At 35.2% G+C, this 22,512-nt stretch overlaps 1 protein-coding gene across 12 annotated transcripts in view; it reads left to right on the top strand.

Annotated features, from left to right (window-relative positions):
- The window catches only part of ADAMTS19 (ADAM metallopeptidase with thrombospondin type 1 motif 19), a 278,386-nt gene that overhangs the window by 211,602 nt on the left and 44,272 nt on the right, over positions 1–22,512 (top strand). For 11 of the 12 annotated variants that reach the window (XM_047416876.1, XM_047416878.1, XM_047416877.1 and 8 more), the window contains 2 exons: positions 7,865–8,022; positions 12,221–12,374. In XM_047416876.1, coding sequence (XP_047272832.1) covers positions 7,865–8,022; positions 12,221–12,374 — 312 coding nt within the window. Of the gene's footprint in view, positions 1–7,864; positions 8,023–12,220; positions 12,375–16,195; positions 16,316–22,512 lie in introns of all 12 variants that reach the window. The other variant, XR_007058587.1, reaches the window with a different exon arrangement.

A 22,512-nucleotide genomic window follows, 5' to 3' on the forward strand; every position in this document is an offset into this window, starting at 1 on the left:
TCTCACTAAAAAAAAATTAAAATGAGCAAAATTCAAAAGAAAAAACACTTTTTATAATGTACCTGTCATTTAGTCTCTTTGGGCTGCTATAACAAAGTGCCATGGACTTTGTGGCTTATAAACAACAGAAATTTATTTCCCACAGTTCTGGAGGCCAGAAGTGTGAGATCAAGGGTGCCAGCATGGTGGGCTTCTGGTGAGGGCCTTCCTTCTGAATTGCATACTGCCGACTTCTAGCTGTGTCTTCACATGGCAAAGAGAGAGAGGAAACAAGCTCTCTTGGGACTCTTATAAGAACACTAATCCCATTCATGAAAACTTCACTCTCATGACCTCATCTAATCCTAATTACCTCCCGAAGACTCCACCTCCTAATAAGAACACATTAGGGGGTAGGGTTTTAACATGAATTTGGGGGAGGGCACCAATGTTTAATCCTTAACACCTCTGAACTGGAAAGAAATTAAAGAACCCTTAGATACTAAAAACAAAGTGGGAACAGGAAGCCAGAGAATTAAGCTAACTATAAAGACCCACCTATACTTGATTCTGGTAAGCAGGTGTAGACTTTGAGAGCCACAGGGACTCTGTGGACAGAAAACAAAACCTAAGGCCTTTACAAAGTGGGAGCTCTAGTAGGAGAGCCCTGCATAAAGCAAGAACTCTAAAGAACTACAACTTCATTGTGGTGGAGAGAGAGAAATTGCACCACAAAAGGTGGAAGAAAGAAAATGTATCTATATTAACCTTAGTACTAAGTGGAAGTAGAAAAATCAATTTTCCTGAGAATTTATAAGGCAAATCAAACCCTCATATGGGTTTGCAGCACCAATTTACCTTAACTGTAAAGTTCAGGGCTCTCAAGACTTATATGGTTACTAAGTTGGTTGGCATGTGCAAGTCCAAATCTACACACACACACACACACACACAAATACATACATATATGGCTATTCAGATATTCTTATATATGTTTTATATATATATGGCTATTCAGATATTCCTCTTCTTTTTGTGTCAATTTTGGTAACTGTTATCTTTAAGAAATTAATTCATTTCCCTTACCTTGTCAATTTCATTGGTTTAAACTTGTTTATAATATTACCTTATTATACTATAATACCTATAAGAATAATATTTTGTCTCTTATTTCTAATATTTTTAGTTTGTGTCTATTTTTCTTAGATAAGCTAAAGTTTTATCAGTTATTTGATCTTTTCAAATAACCAACTCTTGGTGTTAATGATTATCCCTATTGTTAATTTACTTCTATTTAACTGACTTCTGCCCTTTATTAGTTTCTTGCTTCTATTTACATTGGGTTTATATTTATTTTTTCTACCATTTTAAGGTAGAAACTTAGATCATGAACTTCATTGCTTTCTTCTTTGCTAATGTGACAATTTAAAGCTATAGGATTCCCTCTAACCACTGCTTTAGTTTTATTCCACAATATATTCTTAGTTCAAAAGATTTTCATATTAGCACCATGATTTCTACTTTGATTCATGAGTTACTTATAAATGGATTGTTTAATTTCCAAATTTTTTTAGTTTTTAAAATAGATATATTGTTACTGATTTTTAGTTTAAATCTGTTCTGATAAGAGAATATATTCAGTGTAATTTCAATTTTGAGACCTCTTTTATAACTTATGGCATCTATTGACCAATGACCCGTTTATACTTGAAAAAATTTGTGTTCTATTAATACAATTGCTGAGTACAATCTCTAAATATCAATTAGTTTTATTTGGTTCTAGTCTTCTATATTCTTACTGATACTCATCTTTTTTTCAGTTAAGTATTGAAATTTTCAACTAAAATTGTGGATTTTTCTGTCTCTTTTCAATTATGTCAGTTTTGCTTCATGCATTTTGATACTTTAGCATACACTTAGGATTGTTAAGTCTACTCAACAAATGTTATGTCATTTTAAAATTTAAATTTAATTAATTTTAATGTAAATGACCTTTAAAAACATGTCTTTTTTTAAATCTCAAAATATTTCTTGCCCTTGTCCATGGTATCCATTAATAATATGGCCATTGGCCGGGGACGGTAACTCACGCCTGTAATGCCAGCACTTTGGGAGGCTGAGGTGGGCGGATCACCTGAGGTCAGGAGTTCAAGACCAGCCTGACCAATATGATAAAACCCTGTCTCTACTACAAATACAAAAATTAGCCTGGTGTGGTGGCATGCCCCTGTAATCCCAGCTACTCAGGAGGCTGAGACAGGAGAATCACTTGAACCCGGGAGGCGGAGGTTGCAATGAACTGAGATCACACTATTGCACTCCAGCCTAGGCAACAAGAGCGAAACTCCATCTCAAAAAAAAAAAAATCATTAAATCCATTTTTTTTAATATTTAGTGTTGCATGCTACATCTTTTTCCATTCTTTTATTTTAACCAATGTATTTTTAAAGCTCTTTGAATACTGTGAGATTTTTCGTTTTCTTTAGCCTGACAATCTCTCTTTTAACCAATGTCCTTAGTCCACTTAAACATAATATAATTTTGGCCATACTGAATTTGTTTTCTATTTGTTCCATCTCTTCTTAATTCCTTTGTGTCTTTTTCTCTGGCTTCTGTTGGACTGAGTACACTTTTTACTATTCCAGTGTCTTCTTTACTTGCTTATTAGCTATAATTCTTGCTTTATATTTTTAATGGATTGTCTAGCATTTACAGTATGTATTTTTAACTTATTACAGCCTCCTTACAAATTATTTATACCACTTTATATATAATGTAAGCTCCTTAAAACAGTATACTCCTCTTTTTCCTTCCTTTTTGCTATTATGCATCTTACTTTCACATTTCCTATTATCAGTTTAATTCTACATATATTTTAAACACCAAAATACATTGTAATCATTTTGCCTCAGTTAATTATACTAAAAATAATATCGATACTTTTTTATACATTTACCACTATCAGCTTCCTTCCTTCCTTCACATAGACACCACTTTCCATCTTGAACCATTTTATTTCAGCCTGAAGAGCATTCTTTAATTTTTTTAATAGAGTAAGTCTCCTGACATTTCTCAAATTTTGTTTGTCTGAATATATTTTTACTTTGCCTTCATCTCTGAAGGATATTTTCACTGGATATAGAATTCGAGATTTTTTTGTTTGCTTTGTTTTCTTTCTCTGAATGTGATATTTTATCATCTTCTGGCTTGTATTAGTTCTGATGGTATATCCAGTGAATTGTTAAATCTTTTACCCCTGTTTTAACGTGCTTTTTTCTCTCTAGGCACTTTCAAGATTGTTATTCCCTATTATTGGATTCCAGCAGTTTGATTATAATGTACCTTGTATGGCTTTCTTTATGCTTATTTGGCTTAGATTTCATTGCATTTTTTAGATTTGTTTATGTTTGTAGACTGTATCAAATTTGGAAATAATTTTGAGCACAATGTCTTCAAATAATTTGTATGCCCCCACCCGTATTTCTGGAATTCTAGTTACACATACGTTACTCTACCAGGTATTTCCCATGGGACAGTTATGGTCTGTTCATTTTTTTAGCCTATTTTCTTTTTAGAATCCAGTCAGTTTCTATTATATTAGCTTTCCTTCAAGTTCACAGACTTCTTTTGCAATATCTAAAGTGTTTGTAAATCAGTTCAGTGAATTTGTCATTACAGATATTATGTATATTTTTCTATTCTGTGACTTTATCATTACAGTTATTATATATATTTTTTCTATTTCTATTTTACATATTTTATTCTGTGAAATTTGATTTTTCATAGTTTCCATTACTCTTCAATATTACATATTTTTCTTTGAATTATTGTGCATACTGAACATACTTACAATAGCTCTTCAAAAGTCTTGGTCAGCTGGGCACAGTGGCTCACACCTGTAATCCCAGCCCTTTGGGAGGGCAAGGCAGGCAGATCACTTGAGGTCAGGAGTTCAGCCTGACCAACATGGTAATACCTCGTCTCTACTAAAAATACAAAAATTAGCTGGGCATGTGGCAAGCACCAGTAATTCTAGCTACTCAGGAGGCTGAGGCAGGAGAATTGCTTGAACCCATGAGGCAGAGGTTGCAATGACCTCTGCAATGAGATGGCGCCACTGCACTCCAATCTGGGTGACAGAGTGAGACTCCATCTCAGAAAAAATAATAATAATAAAAAAAAGCCTTGGTCTACAAATTCTGTCATCTCTATTATTCCTGGACCTCTTTTTATTGGCTGATTTTTCCACTGATTATGATAGGTTGCAATCCCTGACTTTTTCCCATACCTAGTACTTTTTGGTTGGATGCTGGATATTATGAATGTGACATTGCTGAATGACTGTATTTTGTTATTTACTATTGAGTATTGAGTTTCATTTTGCTGGACAGTTAACTTACTTGCAGATCAGCTTAACTTCTTGAGGCTTTTTAAAAGCTTTGTCAGTATGCAACTAAAGTAACCTTTGTTCTAGGATTAGTTTAACTTTATTTCTTATATGTAGCCTTTTTTTGTTCTCCACTAAAGACTTCAGCTGCTTTAGCCAATTTGAACTCCGTTCTCTGTGTCCTCAACTCACTGAAGCCCTCGCCCTCATCATCTGTCCTCTGTGTGGGTTCTACCTCCCAGTCAGGGGGTCTGGTAAATATTTTCAAGCAGAAAGCCAAGCAGTTTTAGAGATCAAATCATTTGGTCTTCTCTTAGGGATCGCAGTTCTCTGTTATTTAACCAACATCTGAGAACAGCTGTTTCATACATTGTCTAATTTTCTAGTTATTTACCATAGGAGAGCTAATACAGTTTTAGTTATTCAATCATGGTGAAGAGTATGATTTCTAAAAGCACATTTTTTAAATTAACAAATTAAAAACAAAAAGCAAGAAACATATATACCTAAAGTATTGATTCTTTATGTGAGGCTGCTATTAAATGGTGTGGATTTGAAGGTACATGTGTGAGTGCCATTTTCTGGAGAATGCTGAATGTCAAAAATACCAATTGAATCTAAATGTACTCTAGTGATCCCCAGGATTTGTAAAGGCATTTTAATTAGAGATTTTCTGAAAATATTTCTTTACATTGTGCCCTAAAAATGTACTGAATACAGGAGAAAAAAATGGAATTGTACCGACCTTAGTACATATCTAGGCCAAAAAGATTCCTCAAAATACTTAATAGACTTTAATGAAAAACAAGGAAATAATTTACCTTTTAGGAAAAATCATTAATTATTTTATCAATTTAGCATGATCAAAATTAAAAAATTATAAAGTTCAATAGGAATAAAATAATAGATCTTTAAGAAAAGTAGATTGGGCCCAGCACAGTGGCTTACGCCTGTAATCACAGCACTTTGGAAGGCCAAGGTGGGGAGATCACCTGAGGTCAGGAGTTCCAGACCAGCCTGGCCAACATGACAAAACGCTGTTTCTACTAAAAATACACAAATTAGCTGGGGATGGTGGTGGCAGCCTGTAATCCCAGCTACTCGGGATGCTGAGGCAGGGGGAATTGCTTGAATCTGGGAGGCAGAAGTTGCAGTGAGCTGAGATCGGGCCACTGCACTCCAGCCTGGGTGACAGAGTGAGACTCCGTCTCAAAAAAAAAAAAAAGTTAACTTCTGATATTGCTCCTCAACTATGTTCTTTTGACAGTTTTTACCATTTCATTATTTGCCATCATAACCCATCTGTTTTCTCATCCTAGAACCCTGGCATCATACTTGACACTTCCCAGGGGAACCAATTCATTACCATATTCTGTCCATTTTACTCTGAAACAAATCTTGATATTTTCATCCATTCCCTTAATCCAAGCCACCATTACTTTCAGTTGGGCTACCATGTTAGTGTTATATCTTATCTTCCCTGTGTAAATTTACCCTACACCAGCCCATTTTCCACAGAATATTTTTCGAAATACTTTAAAGCTTTACTTTCCCCCCCACCCCGCCAGACCACATCTGGTTCTGTTGCCCAGGCTGGAGTGCAGTGGCATGATCTCAGCTCACTGCAACCTCCACCTCCTAGGTTCAAGCGATCCACCCACCTCAGCCTCCCGAGTCACTGGGACTGCAGGCGGGCACCACCATACCTAGCTAATTTTTGTATATTTTGTAGAGATGGGGTTTTGCCATGTTGTCCAGACTGGTCTTGAACTTGTAAACTCAAGCCATCTGCCCACCTTGACCTCCCAAAGTGCTGGGATTACAGGTGTGAGCCACCACACCGGCCGTTACATTTTTTTCTTAGGAAAACTCAAATACTAACAAGGCCTCTCTGGTCTGGCTAGTCCTCATTTCTCCAGCCTCCCTTCATAATCTGCTTCAGCATGTTTGACTTCATGCACATGGGTCTCCTGGTCCTGGTCAAGCTGCGATGAGCTTTAAGACCTTTCCATGTATGGCTCCCTTAGTCTAGAATGCCCTTTCCCTTATTTCCCTTCACTAATTTTCTCAGTAAATAACATCCCTCAGAGGAGCCTCTTTCAACTCTGCCACGCAAGTGTCAGCATGTTGTAGTCAGTTGCCTACGTAACTTGTTTAATGTCTGGCTCTGCAGTTAGAGTGTAAGTTCCATGAAGACAGAGAACATATACATGTTGTTCATTTTGGGGGTTCCAGAACTTTGAATGTTGCCTGAGTTATGGTTGATACTAGATAAGTAATTATTCAATCATGATTTTATATTAGGTAAGAGAAATTTACTTTCAGTGCTGTGCTCAGAAATAAACACTCTCAGTCACTATTATGGAAGTATAAATTGATGCAACCTCTAGGAAAATCAATTTGAAACTGTTTTTCAAAATCTTTAAATGTTCAATTTATTTATTATTGTAGTTCCAAATCTGGATATTTAAGGGAAATATTCAGATATACACATAATTAGTATATAGCATATTTATTTAAACATTATTTACAAGATAAAAACTTGGAAATCTTCAAACATCTAATACTTGGAGATTAGCCTAAATAACTAGCAGGATTTATTGGCTTAAGTTATCAAAATGTTTTCATGTAATTTTGACATAGCCTTCAATGAATCCTCATGTACATGTCTTTAGGAAAGACAGTAAAGTTGTATGGAAGAGTCTAAAAGTTTAAATTAAACACTAAATCATTTGAAGGAAAATATTTTAAAAACTTAATTTAAAATGGTAACCATGATGTCTCATTTCCGTGTCACTAATCTTATTTAAATTGTACACAGATTAGCTCAAAAAGAAAAAAAATTATGTAAACAGAATTATTCTGTAAAATCCTATATAGATGATTGTTGCTTGTGGGTGAGAAATAACATTTATCTTCCATTCTTGTTCACAGCAAATCACAAACAGATGTTAAAAGGTCCTGGGTCTGTTTTTAAATCCAACATATTATCTTTGAATTGTTTTATAATGCATATAACCCTGCCATTTTGATCAGTTAATTAATGTCCTGCTTAATGATCCTTCTTTAATCACATACTTTTCTGAATGGGCATAGGAGAGACAGAGCATGTATGAGATATAAAGCCAGTATTCACAATGCTCATAGGATCACTGGATAGACTAAATAGATACACATAGCCTGAATATAGTAATGTGTTAAAGAATAAATGATTAAGGACCAAAATAAGGAATATATACATCAAAGGTCCAAGGAGATTAGAGAAGGCAAAGATAAATATGGCTATATAGTTATGGACAATTTCAGGACAGGAGAGCTATGGCATCTGCCATGATTGCAGACTTTTCCTAAAAAGAGCTGCCTCAAGTTTTACATCAGGGAATGTTGATCCATTTGTTTGTAAATAAATGGACTAGTTTTAACAAAATAATTTGTAGTAGATGTTGATCAATGAAGCTGACTTGTTAATACTCATTATATTTTTGAACCTCTTTATAGCTCTCCGAGATGCTGGCAAACAGTCTATTAATAGTGACTGGAAGATTGAACACTCTGGAGCCTTCAATTTGGCTGGAACTACCGTTCATTATGTAAGACGAGGCCTCTGGGAGAAGATCTCTGCCAAAGGTCCTACTACAGCACCTTTACATCTTCTGGTATGAGGGAATGAATTGATAACATGGCATAATCAACTTCTCATGGCAAGGAATATTCCCAGTGCACTTCCTCTAATATTTTTCAGATTTGAATTGTCACACAGACATTTAAAATTATTTAAAAAGTGGAATTTTTAGAGGTTTTGTAAAATGTGTTTTAAATCATGTTGTCTAAAAACAGCAATTATTACAGGAGGAGCAAGATGTTTTAGGGAATTTACAGATGCAAAGTACAGATGGATGACAGGGAATCCAAAGAAAACCCTTCTTCCTAAAAACATACATTTACTAACTGAAGAGGATGTCTATGAAGAGAGTACTATAATATTGCATGCAAATCACAGCGTTTTATATATCCATGAATGGCCATTATCTGACTCTGCATAAAAACCTTAGATAAAATGTTATTCTACCCGAGAGAAGGAATTTGATAAATACATGTTAACAGTGCTCCCCATCACCCTGTTTGTTATTAATGGATTTTTGTAAAGAATTACGAAAATTTGAATATTTGGGATGATAAGCTTTGTTACCATTAGTAAAAAACTGTATATAGGCCAGACGTGGTGGCTCACGCCTGTAATCCCAGCACTCTGGGAGTCCAAGGTGGGTGGATCGCAAGGTCAGGAGTTCGAGACCAGCCTGACCAACACGCTGAAACTCCGTCTCTACTAAAAACAAAACAAAAAAATTAGCTGGGCATGGTGACGCATGCCTGTAATCCCAGCTACTCAGGAGGCTGAGGCAGGAGAATTGCTTGAACCCAAGAGGCGGAGGTTGCAGTGAGCAGAGATCAAGCCACTGCACTCCAGCCTGGGTGACAGAGGGAGACTCTGTCTCAAAAAAAAAAAAAACAAAAAAAAAAACTGGATATAAGTGGGTTAGAATTTGAAGAGAAAAAATCAGGATGATGGAATTCTGTCCAGGCTGGTGGCAGGTCCATGTGCCCCTTTTGACCTTGATTATGGCAGTGCGTGCTAATGGCACATGAGCCAAATGACTGACTACACAGCTGGTGTGAGTTTTCTATCCTAATGGCAAAAAGAAGTCTAAAATTCAGACACTGCAACACCTCCTTAAGTCCACATATAAAACAACTCTAAAACACGATCAATTAACTGTTTATTTGGAGTATGATGTGCTGCATTATTTAATATCTCCACATGATTTAAGATAAATTTGTCTTCAATTGGAGACATGTGTGTTGCTAGTCTAGAAGCCAGAGGTTCACATCATATATTGGCCTATTTGCTTCTACTACTTTAGTGTGCCTGCAGATTACCTGGGGTTCTTACTAAAATGCATAGTCTGATTCATTTGATTTGGGGCAGGATCTAAAATCTGTATTTTTCACCACCTTCCACGTGATACTGCTGCTACTGGTCCACAAACCACATTTTAAATTACAAGGTTCTATATAACTGCAATTAATATGCTTTACCAACAGAAATAAAGGGAGCAAGGTGAGTGGTGTGTGTACCTTCTATTCCAAATCAGAATAATAATAATATCCATCATTCTTGAGGACTAAGAATTAGACACTATCCAAAAGTGCTTTATGTTCATTATAGCATTTAATCCCCCAAATAATCCTGTGTAATATATATTATTATTACTCTAGTTTACAGATTAAAAAGAATTAAATATGAGAAAAGTTAATCAATGTGCTCAGTGTTGTCCAATAAGTTATTTAGCTGTAAAAACCTAGGTATTAGTCACTCTTCTATGCTACCTCGCTGACACAGAGGTCCAAAGAACTTGGATCCAAAGCTTAGATCCAAGTTCTTTATACCAAACTGCCTTAAATCAAAAATGTAAGTATACTTTGAATAATCATTTTGTGCATCACCTCACAGTCCCATTGGATCCTATTATTTAATTTCAGCTGGAAACCCTACTCTCTGCCTTATGCCATCTAGCGAGAGAAAATAAAATGAAGAAACAAATGTTATATGAACAATATCTGTTTCATTCCATGATTTGGTCACTTATAATAACAGTATCAACAGCAAACATATGTTTAATGATTGTATTGCATAAAATGCCATTGTGTTCCCTGCCTTTAATAAATGTAACCTCCCCTGTTTTTATTTTATGGTATAAGACCAAGGCTTCTTTACTAAGCTTCAAATTCAGAATTTTAAAACACTATATGTGAGACCTTAGTGTTGGGTGGAGGGAGTTTCCTTGCTGCAGAATCCTTAATCTAACTGGTAATTACCAAGGTTTTTCCTGGAAGCATGAAGCATAATTAAACTCAGTGAACTATGTCTAAAAGAAGGCATCTATGTGACCTGGATTTATTCAGTAATCCAAGGGAAACTGCACTTCTAAGATATTTTTTCTTTAATGACTATTACAGATTGAAGGACTGTACTGAATTTTTAAAGGCAATCCCTTCTGCTGCCATGCTTCAGCATGTGCCCCTCAACTGTAACATGGTCACACTTTCCTTTTTGCAAAGAATACTGCCAAATTCAAATGGTTTAAGAAAGAGCTAATGGTTTTGTAGCCAATGTCTCTGTTTTAAGTGGCATTAGATATTCAAGGACAATCTAAAGTTCTATCAATGAAAAGGTAGTTTATTAGGAAAAATAGACACATTTTTATGTAATTAAATAAGTTGACAAATAGCTGGTATTTACATGTTCATCCCATTCATTTAAAAACTATGTATTAATAATAGTCTGGGTATAGTCGTAAGGTATATCATTTTTTAAAAACCCATTTAAACTGTCTGTCTTTAAACTCATTAGGCTGAAAGTCACTTATAATCAGCAACATCAAATGACATATTTAAGCCAAAATAAGTACTATGATAGAATTAGTACACTGTATGTGTTACGCATTTGTGAACTTAAAATTATTGTTTTTATTGATATAGTTATTTATAAAGTCGACACACTAGTCTCCCAATCCGCACATCAAAATACATCTTAGGCATTCTGTTGATATACTGAACAAAACTCTGAGAAAAAGAAGGAAAGAAAATATAATAAAAATGTTCAGACACTTAAACCTAGGCCCATTTCAATTTTCCTATGGAATGTTAACTCTGCATTACCTATCATTACGACTACCTTGATGCAGGTAAAATACTAAATAAAGTTCTTCAATAATTTATCATAATTTTAAAATTTGGGTACATATGTTTTTTAATGTATCATATTATATTATATAGATTGTTTCCATAGATCCTCAGATCCATAGAAGTGATATATTCCATGGGATTGCTTGACACATTTTCTAAAAATAGATGTATAAAGAAATATATATATATACTCATTAACTCTTTCATTAAAATATGTGTGTATGTGGGGGAGGGGGGTGGGTGTATTTATGTATAATTGGCCACACTATCCAATTCTGAGCCTGGCACTGGGAACCAGTAGAGAACAAAACAGACATGGTCCCTGCATATAGTTCAGTCCAACGTGTAGCCCCATATTCAGTCGTTTTCATGTATTTTTATGGTTTATTGAACTATTTATATATATATATGTGCATAACTGTACAATTATTAATATTAAAAGTTCATGTAACATAAATTTAACTTCAAAGAAAACAATATATACTACAAGTGGAAAATCAGTAACCTTGCTTGCTACAATTAAAGGTTAACTGTAAGCATACCTGGAGTGAAATTCTTGTCCTCCAGTTTGCTTAGAAATTCTCTGCCCTTATGAAGTTCAGTGATCCCCAAAGTCATCTATCTATCTTCCTCTTTTGACTCAGCAACTTCCTGTCCATCTTTTCTTTTCTCTACATTTGGCATTAGATTGTGGGTCACACCTTGATATATGATAGAACACATACTCCTGCCGCCACTTTTGCCCACCTCCAACTAAAGTCATCTTATACATTTACTATGCTTTGGGAAACTGTCTAGTCCATCAAATTGAAAGAAAATGATCTAGTATGTCTGACCTCACTCAAATGAGCTTTTCTTAAGATGTTTTTAGCATGAAGGTAAGTACGAAGCTCCAGTCTTTTCAAAAGCATGGCAATATCTACATTTAAGAATAATGTCACGTTTCTAGTGTGCATTAAGAGAAGGGTATGTCCACAACAGCAACAACAACAACAAAATGCACACAACACAATGAGCATTTTAAGTATCAATATTGTTAATTTTATGCTTTACATTGCACGTGCTCTAGTTTGACCCATCTGCCTTGATCATTTTTGTATACTATAGGTGCTCCTGTTTCAGGATCAGAATTATGGTCTTCACTATGAATACACTATCCCATCAGACCCTCTTCCAGAAAACCAGAGCTCTAAAGCACCTGAGCCCCTCTTCATGTGGACACACACAAGCTGGGAAGATTGCGATGCCACTTGTGGAGGAGGTGAAGGATTTTTAAACATTTATCTTTCCAAAACATCAGTTGTTTTCTGATTAAGCATTGATAATTAAGACATATCCAAAATCCCTAATCTGCAATTCCAAAATCCATAAAGAGTTAGAAATGGAAAGTTTTATATGATATGTTTAGTGGCTAAACACCTGAAATACTTAGAATGGAAGAACAGCTATTTAGGATTGTTAACATATCTCAATATGACTACTCTTTGCATTACATTACATTACATTACATTACATTACATTACATTACATAAGTATTAATATATTTGTTTACAGGGGCCTCCCCAGACACCATTCAGGTTGTTAGGTACTATTTATGCACTGTGTTATTTCTATGAAATCTTAAAAGTTCTAAATTCCAAAGTACACCTGCCCACAAGAATTACAGACCTGAATTGAATATAAGAATTATTTGGGCCGGGCGCGGTGGCTCACGCCTGTAATCCCAGCACTCTGGGAGGCCGAGGCGGGCAGATCACGAGGTCAGGAGATCAAGACCATTCTGGCTAACACGGCGAAACCCCGTCTCTACAAAAAATACAAAAAATTAGCCGGGTGTGGTGGCGGGCGCCTGTAGTCCCAGCTAGTCGAGAGGCTGAGGCAGGAGAATGGCATGAACCTGGGAGACGGGGCTTGCAGTGAGCCAAGATCCTGCCACTGCACTCCAGCCTCAGTGGCAAAGCGAAACTCCATTTCAGAAAAAAAAAGAAAAGAAAAAAAAAAAGAAGTCTGTGGAATAGCAGGATTAGAAGAGAGTTTTATTTGAAATGTCTGTTGGACATCTAAGTGTGATGTCAAGTAAGCAGTTAGGTATATAAGTCTGGCATTCAGGAGAGAATATCAGGCTACAGATAAAGAATATATGGATATTTTTAAATGCCAACTGAGAATAGTCACCAAAGACTTTATGTATCCTTGGCATTTAAAAATATCCATATATTCTTTATCTGTAGACTAATATTGAGTGAAGAGAGAGAGAAGCTATTAGAGGATTGAAACTTGGGGTATGCCACCATTTAGAGTTTGGAGAGATGAGGAGAAATAAGCAAAGCCTATTGAAATGAGTAGCCAACAACATAGCAGGAAAAAAAAACATGCAGGAGACAATGCTCTTCTGTATGGCAAGTGAAGAGTATTAGAAGAAGGAGGGAATGATCAACTGTATCAAAAGTTGCAATAAATAAAAAATAATGTAGACTGACAATGATTGTTATACTTAAATATATTATAGTCATTATATTTTATAAATGAAATATATTTGGAACATGAAAGTCAATGGTTATCCTATAAAAATTAATAAAGTGTTTGGCTCCAAAGACTGTGTGGATGGATTCCACAGAAAATAGCAGAAGAATTGAAGAAAGAGACTCTAGGTAACTCAGGAATGTTGCTGAAAGGAGAAAACAAACGTGGCAGGGGTAAAAGAGGATATGAGTCAAAGGAGTTTGTTGTTGTTTTCAATAGGGTATATTATACAACATTGTTTGCCAATGTGCATTTTTAAGAATCAAACAAAAAACTAGGGATGCAAAGGAGAGAGCAAAAAAATTGCTGAAGTGTTATCCAAATGGGATAGGATGGTGAAGTTGGCTTTAGGCAAAAATATGGACAACTCATCACTAGTAACAGGAGAAAAGATAGGTGTTCGGAAGTTACAGTTGAAACTATTTTGTCAATAAAGGCTATCTGGCTGAGAGTTAGGGTGGAAAAGGAAGTACTGACATTTTGAAAAGAGAAAATGTGAATCAATCACTTAGATAATGAATGAAATGGGTATGTGTATTTTGATTATCTGGAGTAATAGTCTGTTTAAAGTCAATGGTCATGAATTTAGGATGATACCAGTCCTTATGATGTATGTTACCTTCTAGCAATGTACAGCATGCGAGTGCACTTGTGAAGTGAGTTTGGAAATTGCCAAGTGAGTATGATAAAGTAAGAGAGGAGTAAGTGCTTGACCTGAGGTTGTATGCAAGAGGCTGAAAGTGGTGGATCATGGAATTTAGGTGCAATAGGAGGAATATAAAGATATGGGGGCTGGAAAGACAGTAAAATGGTGATAGGATTGATGGAGTATAGGGTCTTGAGGGGTTAAAGAATTCTTAGTCTCAGGGTGCTAAAGGGAAAGACTTGTTAGTCTCATGGCACTAAAAGGCTAGAAATATAGAGGATGATATCAGAAAATAGAGCTGAGATTATAGAACAGAAAGGGAGAGGGGTCTGGTAGTGGCAGGGAGGAGCATGGCAGCTGCACCACGTCTAGATCCAAAGGTACCTGGAAGTGATCAAAACAATGGTCACCCCACTGAAGGCTACAGGGAGAGTAAGAGGCTGTGTCCTTAGGAGAAAGAAGGTGCCAAGAATATTCAAGGAGCATAGAGTGGGAAGGAGCATCCTTTGGCAGAGGGCTCAGAGCTTTGAGGTTCTCACCTGACTCCAGGAGCATCTTTGCCAGAGCAAAGGCAACATCAGGGGCAGAGGAATGGTGAAGTTATAAGGAATTCACTTTGTGCCCCAAGGATAAAAAGTGGTTACAACAAAAACATTTCAAATCGCTCTCTCAATTTAAAAAAATGTTATCAGTCACCCTTGCCACAAGAAATTTTCAGTGGCCATGTTTCTCTTCCTGGGCCCTAATACTGCCCTATGACTTGAGCTCTTCTATCCTCCCATCCTCTCCTGCTGATGCTCCCATATGCACCCAAATTCGCAAATTCCTGTTCCTCTGCTCCACTCATCCTACACTGATGCCAGGGGCTCATCTTTCTTAAGGGGCTGTACTTCACCTTCTCTACCCAAATAAAAAACAAAGGCACAAAATAGAAGCAAACACATTCACAACAAAAATATAGTTATATTTTTCTCTTTAACATAGCTCAGATAAGATTCTTAGTCATATCTGCAATCCTACCAACAAGCGCCCATCTTGTGGTTGGGGGGCAGGCAATGGAGGAGTAAAGTGATGGACAGACAGGCTGATGGTTCACCTTATACCACTGAAACGCAGTTGTTAAAATCCATTTACATTTAAAACTCTAGACAGGAAAATGTTTGCCCAGTAAATGTTTTTATTCTCATTTTTTCCTCCTTCTGCCATTTTTATCTAATAGAAGCTGCATCAGAAGGAGTTAAACATACAGAACTTGTCAGTCTTCAATTTTAAAAAGCAAATTGTCTAGGATCAACATTCTTCCCCAAATTACATTAATTACTTCCTAAAATATGTTCTTCCAATTGCTAAGCATCAAGGAATAGAGGTTGACTATAAATTTTTTTTGTTTCAGGGTCAGGAGAAATATTATCTATTCTTAAACATAACTTCTTAATTATCAACATGAGAAAATTGAAGGGCTTAGAGGTTAAGTGACTTCCCAAGGTTGCATGGCCCATTTGGGTAGAGCCAGGATTAGAATCAATGACTCAGGGGTTCAAGTCTTCTTTCCTGCTCATCATACTGCCTTCATGAATGGCTCAGGAGGCTTCATGTAGTTTATTTCCACAAAATACAGCATGTCTTCTAGAGATTATTTAGGTTTTCTTTGGATACAAATGGACGTTTTATTATATTCTGTTATGTAAGAATTTAGATATGCTTTTATTTTTACTTCAAATGGCTGATTTTATAAAACAGTCATTCTAATAATACACAACTCCTATATGATTTGTGCTTGAATAGATCTCCTCTTCCAACTCTGCTCCATTGTGTTTAGTCAACAGTTTTCGATTATCTCTATGTTAATGGGGTGCATATTCATTTCAATGCCAAAATATTTCTGGGCTTTTGGATATTATTTTCCTTTGCAGTTCATAAATAAAGTGGATGGACAGAATTTCAAGGATCGCATCATTTCTGACTTCATATCATCGATTTTATAGCCAGAAAGAGCTTTCTAATCTTTCAGCATATTCATGAATTAAATGAGAGTAAGTTCAAAGCACAGAATATTGGAAACAGATTCATGCAAAATTTATCTTCAACAGCAAAGAGGAATAATAATAGCAGTATTCTACTTCATAAGAATATATTAAGAGCAAGTAAAGTATCACAGGGCAGTATAAAATGTGTGTATAAGATGTTATTTTTCTAATTCTGTTGTAAGATATTAAATTGCCAATACTGTAATAAGTGGGAAAATAAACACTTAAAAGGATATGGTTATCTAGCTAATTTTTATCATAATTATATTTTACATCAGCATCTCAAACTAAGTTTTAAAATGGTAACTCAAACTAAACTTATTTCAAATATGTATTTATTATTGTCAGTTATTATAAGATATGAAAAGCCTAAGAGATGAAAATTCTCTCTTTTAAAAGGAATATTGCCTTAAAATCTCTGATGAAGGCTGATCATCTCAGGTAAATTTTTTCAACAGTTTAACATACATATATAAGTTATCACACTTTCCGTCACAGTCTTTTGAGTCTAATGATAATTCTAGAAATATTTGAATTGACATATCATTTTGTATTTTAACATCAGTCATTAAAACTAGTTCTTTTATTTTCAAACAGCTTGAAATGTTTTTGTGAAAGAAATGTTCACTTTGCGTTAGAGTTCTAAAACATCTTAAAATATTTGGAGGAATGGTTTAAATTTATTTTGGCATCTCAGAAGTGTGGATCAGTTTGCTACAAGGTTCCTTTTGACATTGAAGACCTGTTTTAAGTGATCTTAGTCTCCAGAGGCATTATAAATATATTACTCCAAAATATCTGAGGATTGTGTATGGAATCAGCATTAACTGCATAACTTTAAGATTTGTTTTGATCTAGTGAATAGATTACTGAAATAAAATAGAATGAGGACCCCAAAATTCAATAACCCCTTATGAAACACATGAAGAGTTAAACATGCTTTTAGGAAATCCTAAGCAGATCTACTTTGAAGGAAAAAAAATAAGCCAACATTCCACATTCTTCACACCAGTCCAAGTCTGTCTAGCTTATGACTGTCCTGGGATCCTCTAGACACTGCTTCCCTTGTCCATATCCAGATCATAAGTAGATATCCAAGCCTTTGGGTCCAAGTTGAGGAAAACATTTCAGTATTCAAAAGCCTATACCTTTTAAAACCCTCTAGAATATATTTAACAGGAAAGAACATCTATAAGGGTGTGATTTGTTCTGTTTTTACTTTTTTTTCTTTTTGAGATGGAGTTTGGCTCTTATTGCCCAGGCTAGAGTGCAGTGGCACAATCTCAGCTCACTGCAACCTCCACCTTGCAGTTTCAAGTGATTCTCCTGCCTCAGCCTCCCAAGTAGCTAGGATTACAGGCACACACCACCACACCCAGCTAATTTTTTTGTATTTTTAGTAGAGACTGGGTTTCACCATGTTGGTCAGGCTGGTCTCAAACTGCTGACCTCGTGATTCACCTGCCTCAGCCTCCCAAACTGCTGGGATTACAGGCATGAGCCACCGTGCCTGGCCTGTTTTTACATTTTAAAGGTACTATACATGTACCAAAATAAACATTATTTGCCAAAGAAAATGCACCAGAATATATTTTCCATTTTTTCTCTGCATTATTTTATTTCAATATTTAATAAAATTTGATATTATTTCATTTATTAATAAAAACATCTTATATTGACAGAAACTATTCATAACCTTGATTTTTAATACCTAAGCGATAATCCATGAACTGGATTTGCCATAAGAAGAACTGGATTCCTGATAATTTGTCATTTAGTTTGCAAATGATTTTGTCACCATTTTAGAAAACATAGTATTGAGATGAACCTCTTAGTATAGAAAGCACTGACAGCTTGAATTACATGCTTATATTTCACTCATTCATTCCTTTACCAGTATTGACCATGCATCCACTATTGCTAGGTGGTCCAAAGATGAATATGTCTTGCTTTCAGAGAACTCACAGTCCATCTAGTGGAAGTCAGATAATAATAAAATCACCTTACTCAGTGATAAAGGAAGATATAGAAAGCCTTCCAAGGATATACCTCGGTGCAAAGGCACCCACGTGCCAGGTGGAAGGCTTTCTTGGAAGTGAAAATGTTATTACTATAGTGTAAAGTATGAGGATTGGTGGGTGGGAAGTGATTTGATCAGAAAAGTAGGATGAAAGCCAATTCATGAAGGTCCTTGAGTGTTATGCTAACAGTTAAATTTAACTTGACAGCTATGTGATCTCATTAAAATATTTGCATGCATATAAATGGCAAGATCAGATTAGTTATATATTAGGTGTTGTGAACAAAGCAAAGTAAATTATTTTCATTAAAATAAAAAAATGAACTAGTCATTTTAACACTCAGACAATATCCTTAGGGAATAATATTTTTTAATGTAAAAAAAGGATAAAAAGTAAATGGCATGACATGATTTTGAAAGTCGTTTAAGTTAAATAAATGTAGGTGTAAAAAATAATCAGCATTTTACAAAGATCTAGGAAGCGCTCAGAGAAAAGTCCTTCATCCTCATTAAAGTATATTTACTTTTGGTTCTCATGCTTACTGGCCATTGTTAATCCAAAAGAAAATTAATAAGTAGAAATTTTAAAAGAAAATTATAAAAATTATAAAGAAATTTACAAACACACACAGGCATACCCACACACATAGTCTCTGTCTTACAGAGTTCTATAATTTAATTTAAAATTTTAGAATGTTAAATAATGTATAGAAAATTTCAGTTATGCATATTGAAACACTGAACCCACAACCAAGAATATGTTTCAGCATTTACAATGCAAGTTCTAGTAATGTGAGGTACCTCAATAGAATTTAGTTTTATTTTGAAATATCCATTTTATGGGTTAAATACAGAGCATATATTTTATAGTAAAAAGTGTCAGCTTATCTGTGAAACTGGAAAAGGCGGCTCACTTAATATAATGTCTAGTCTTTGTTAAATTTCCAAAGCACAAAGAGTTAGTAAATAAAAGTTACCCTTCATTTTCAGATATTGCAATTCAATAGAGATGAATGCATAATGGTTATTTTATTTTATTTATAATTGTATTCAAAACATCCAGATTTCCCCAAGACTAATTTAATGGGAATGACCAAGAGGTGAAGTTAATCACCATAAAGCAAGTAATACTCTGTCAACAGCCTACAGCTGTCATAATTCAGGCAGAAGGTCAGTTATTTCATCACTTTCTGTTTGTCCCTATGTGCCACAGTATTGGATGCATTGTAGATACTGCTATTAGATGCTAGAATGGAAATTTCCTGTGTTGGCTGGGACATTTAAATATATAAAAGAAAAACTCAAACAATAACATTTCCATATGGCTTTAAGATCTTAGTTGTATTTTCATAGGTGTAATACGTCTGTAGCTGAGCAATGAGTTTTTTTCTAATTCTATTGTTTTTGTTCAATGAAATTTTTAAAAAGAGCTAAGCTTCCCCTAGCTGCCAAACCTTACAATATAGGAGTCCTTTCTTACAATGTAAATGGAAATGTCTCAATTCATACTCATGCACCTTCATACTTTCTTAGAAAACTACTAACATGTCCCTAAAATGATGCCGATACCTATATCCCTTTTGATATAACAATACTTATAGTTAAAAATTTCTTTTTCAGTATCTCAGTACGTAAGCAGTAGGTGAATATAACTAAGGTTAAATATTTTCTGAGGATGGGGAAAAAAGCATTATAATCAGCCTTGGGTTATTTATTCTGTGACTATATATATGTTCAGCAAAAGCTTTCTGGATAACGCCCATCATCTTTTTGTGTTGCAGTTGGCAAAATGTCATCATTTAAATGAATTTAGGCAACTGCATCTATTCTGTAAGTGTCAAGGCTTCAAGTTAAATTTTAGAACTAACATTTATACTTCATAAAAGTAGTATTTATTTTAATCCTGCTTTTGGCTATCGCATCATAATAATGTAGAAATAATACCTAAGCTAGCATTATACAAAATCTGCATAATATCTATTTGATATATATACTTCAGGTCATAAAAGAGCCCCTGAAGCATAGGAAGCTAAGAGGAAGCTGACCAAAAATCTGTCCCAAAATTTTACATTTAGGTAAATCTTACCTCGTGATGCCTGTTTTCTCCATGTGAAAAAAAAAAGAGCATAATGTCATTTCTGCTTCTCTAGCAGTTTATTTGAAAATTATTTGAAGTTGTTGGGTTTTGAGCACTGCTGTGATTAAGTCTGAATCTACACTTATCCTTCTTGACCTACCAAGGAATAGCATGGACAGCTTCTAAGTATCTGCCAGAGACGTGAAAGACTGCCTTTCCTCTGCAAGTTAGCATTAGGTCACCTTGTTGCATGAGCTGCAAAGGTTCACTCAAGAGGACCTCAGAGGGTGTAGTTTCCACATTCAGGCAGTTTCTGCACTGCATAAAGTCTTCAGCCAAGGGGACTGCAATCCAGTCCATGTTCCATTTGCCAAGCCATGCAGCCTGCTGTGGGGCCACCTCTATGTGGAGGATGAGTACTGTTTTCTAATTCATCTGCCTATAGGCCATGATTTTTTCCTAATCCACTTTTTAACCTGTGGTTGGATGCCATCTCAAGGCCCTCCCCATTGCTGGCCCACCAGTGTACACTTCTGGAATGCCATAGGGTACTGGTAGGAGGCACACCTCATTCCACTCAAAGGAAAGGGCCTGTTACCTGCCTGACACTCTTGCCTATATGGAGCTCCCATAGAATAAGTTGCATTCCATCAGTACTCCAAGATTTCCTAAAAAGGAAATAACTTAGCCAACATTGTGTTATCACTGTTGATTGAACTAAAGGTCCAAATGGTTTTAATAACATTATATGCAATAACCACAGAATTATTATTTAATTTACACATGTATACAAATGCAGTTATGTTTTTATACTACAAATTGCGGTAGGACTATGCTCAGAGCTATTGAGAGGAAATCAAGGAAAGACTCTGAACCTAAAGCTATTTTTTGCTGTTTACTTAGCCAACCAGTTGCCTCTTACCATCTCCCATTCAAACTAAAGTAAAATGTACTCCAAAATTATTCAAACTGCCTCTCTGTCTACATCCCTTCCTTCCTCATTCTTGATGCCAGCTGCTCTTTCTGTTAATTGAGTGGCAGAATGACCTCCCTGCCACCAGCCCAGCTTTTCTTGTTTGTCATTACCAGCATGAATTCTCTAAGCTTCCATGTCAGTCATAGTACCCTAACTAATGGGCCTTTCAATAGTGAACCAGCAGACTTGTGATGTCTTCTTACTTCTTCATGATCAATCTGGCGTCAAAATTTTGGGCTGATTTAACTGTCTTATAGTGTCAAACAATGGATTAAATAAGATTATTAAATATTATACAGATGTGTATCTTTTTCTACTCACAAGAAATCTGTATATAAGACTTTTTCAAAGAGAAGCAGAAATTAGCACATACTTACTAGACATTTTAATTGTAAGATGAATAATATAACTCCTGTAAAGGAAGTGTGCTTACAGGGCTGTGTAAGCAAAAGGAATACAGCATATAAATTGTCATGTTTACATCCTATAATCAAATTTTATCATAGTAGAGAAAGTAGAAAAGCCAAGTTTTCTGAAATCTGGTAAAAGATGGTAAGAGTCCCATTTCTTTTCTTACAGATGATGACAATCATTTGGGTAAAGATTTCTAGAATTCTTGGGGTCTTTATTAGAGGTGATAAGAATAAAGGTTTGAGTTATACTCAAAACAAATGTGCTTTCCATAACTTATTATAAAGCACTAATGATGTACAAACCAAATGATAAAATGTGCACACATGTTTATGTGCTTTCAGAAAGGCTCATTAGGGAGATTAACTTTATGGAAATAGAGCTTTCCACCACTTAATGCTAAAAGATGGCCACAATCCTTTACAATGTCTTCAGTTTGTATCTTGCTAATTTATGTTGCCATGATCACTTTGTATATAAAACTTGCCATTTAATTTGTAACAGGGAATATTTATTACTCATCCCTTTTAAGCCTAGAGGTACATTTTGTTATGTAAATTATAAATAATATCTTCATTGTTCTAAAATTTGTTTAAAATATCTTTGAAAAGTATAATAACATGTAACAAACCTGCAGGTGTACCCTCTGAATCTAAAATAAAAGTTGATGGAAGAAATAAGACCTGGTGTTCAATAAATCAATTGAGTGACTATAGTTA

The sequence above is a fragment of the Homo sapiens genome, chromosome 5, assembly GCF_000001405.40.
Source record: "Homo sapiens chromosome 5, GRCh38.p14 Primary Assembly".
Lineage (NCBI taxonomy): Eukaryota > Metazoa > Chordata > Mammalia > Primates > Hominidae > Homo > Homo sapiens.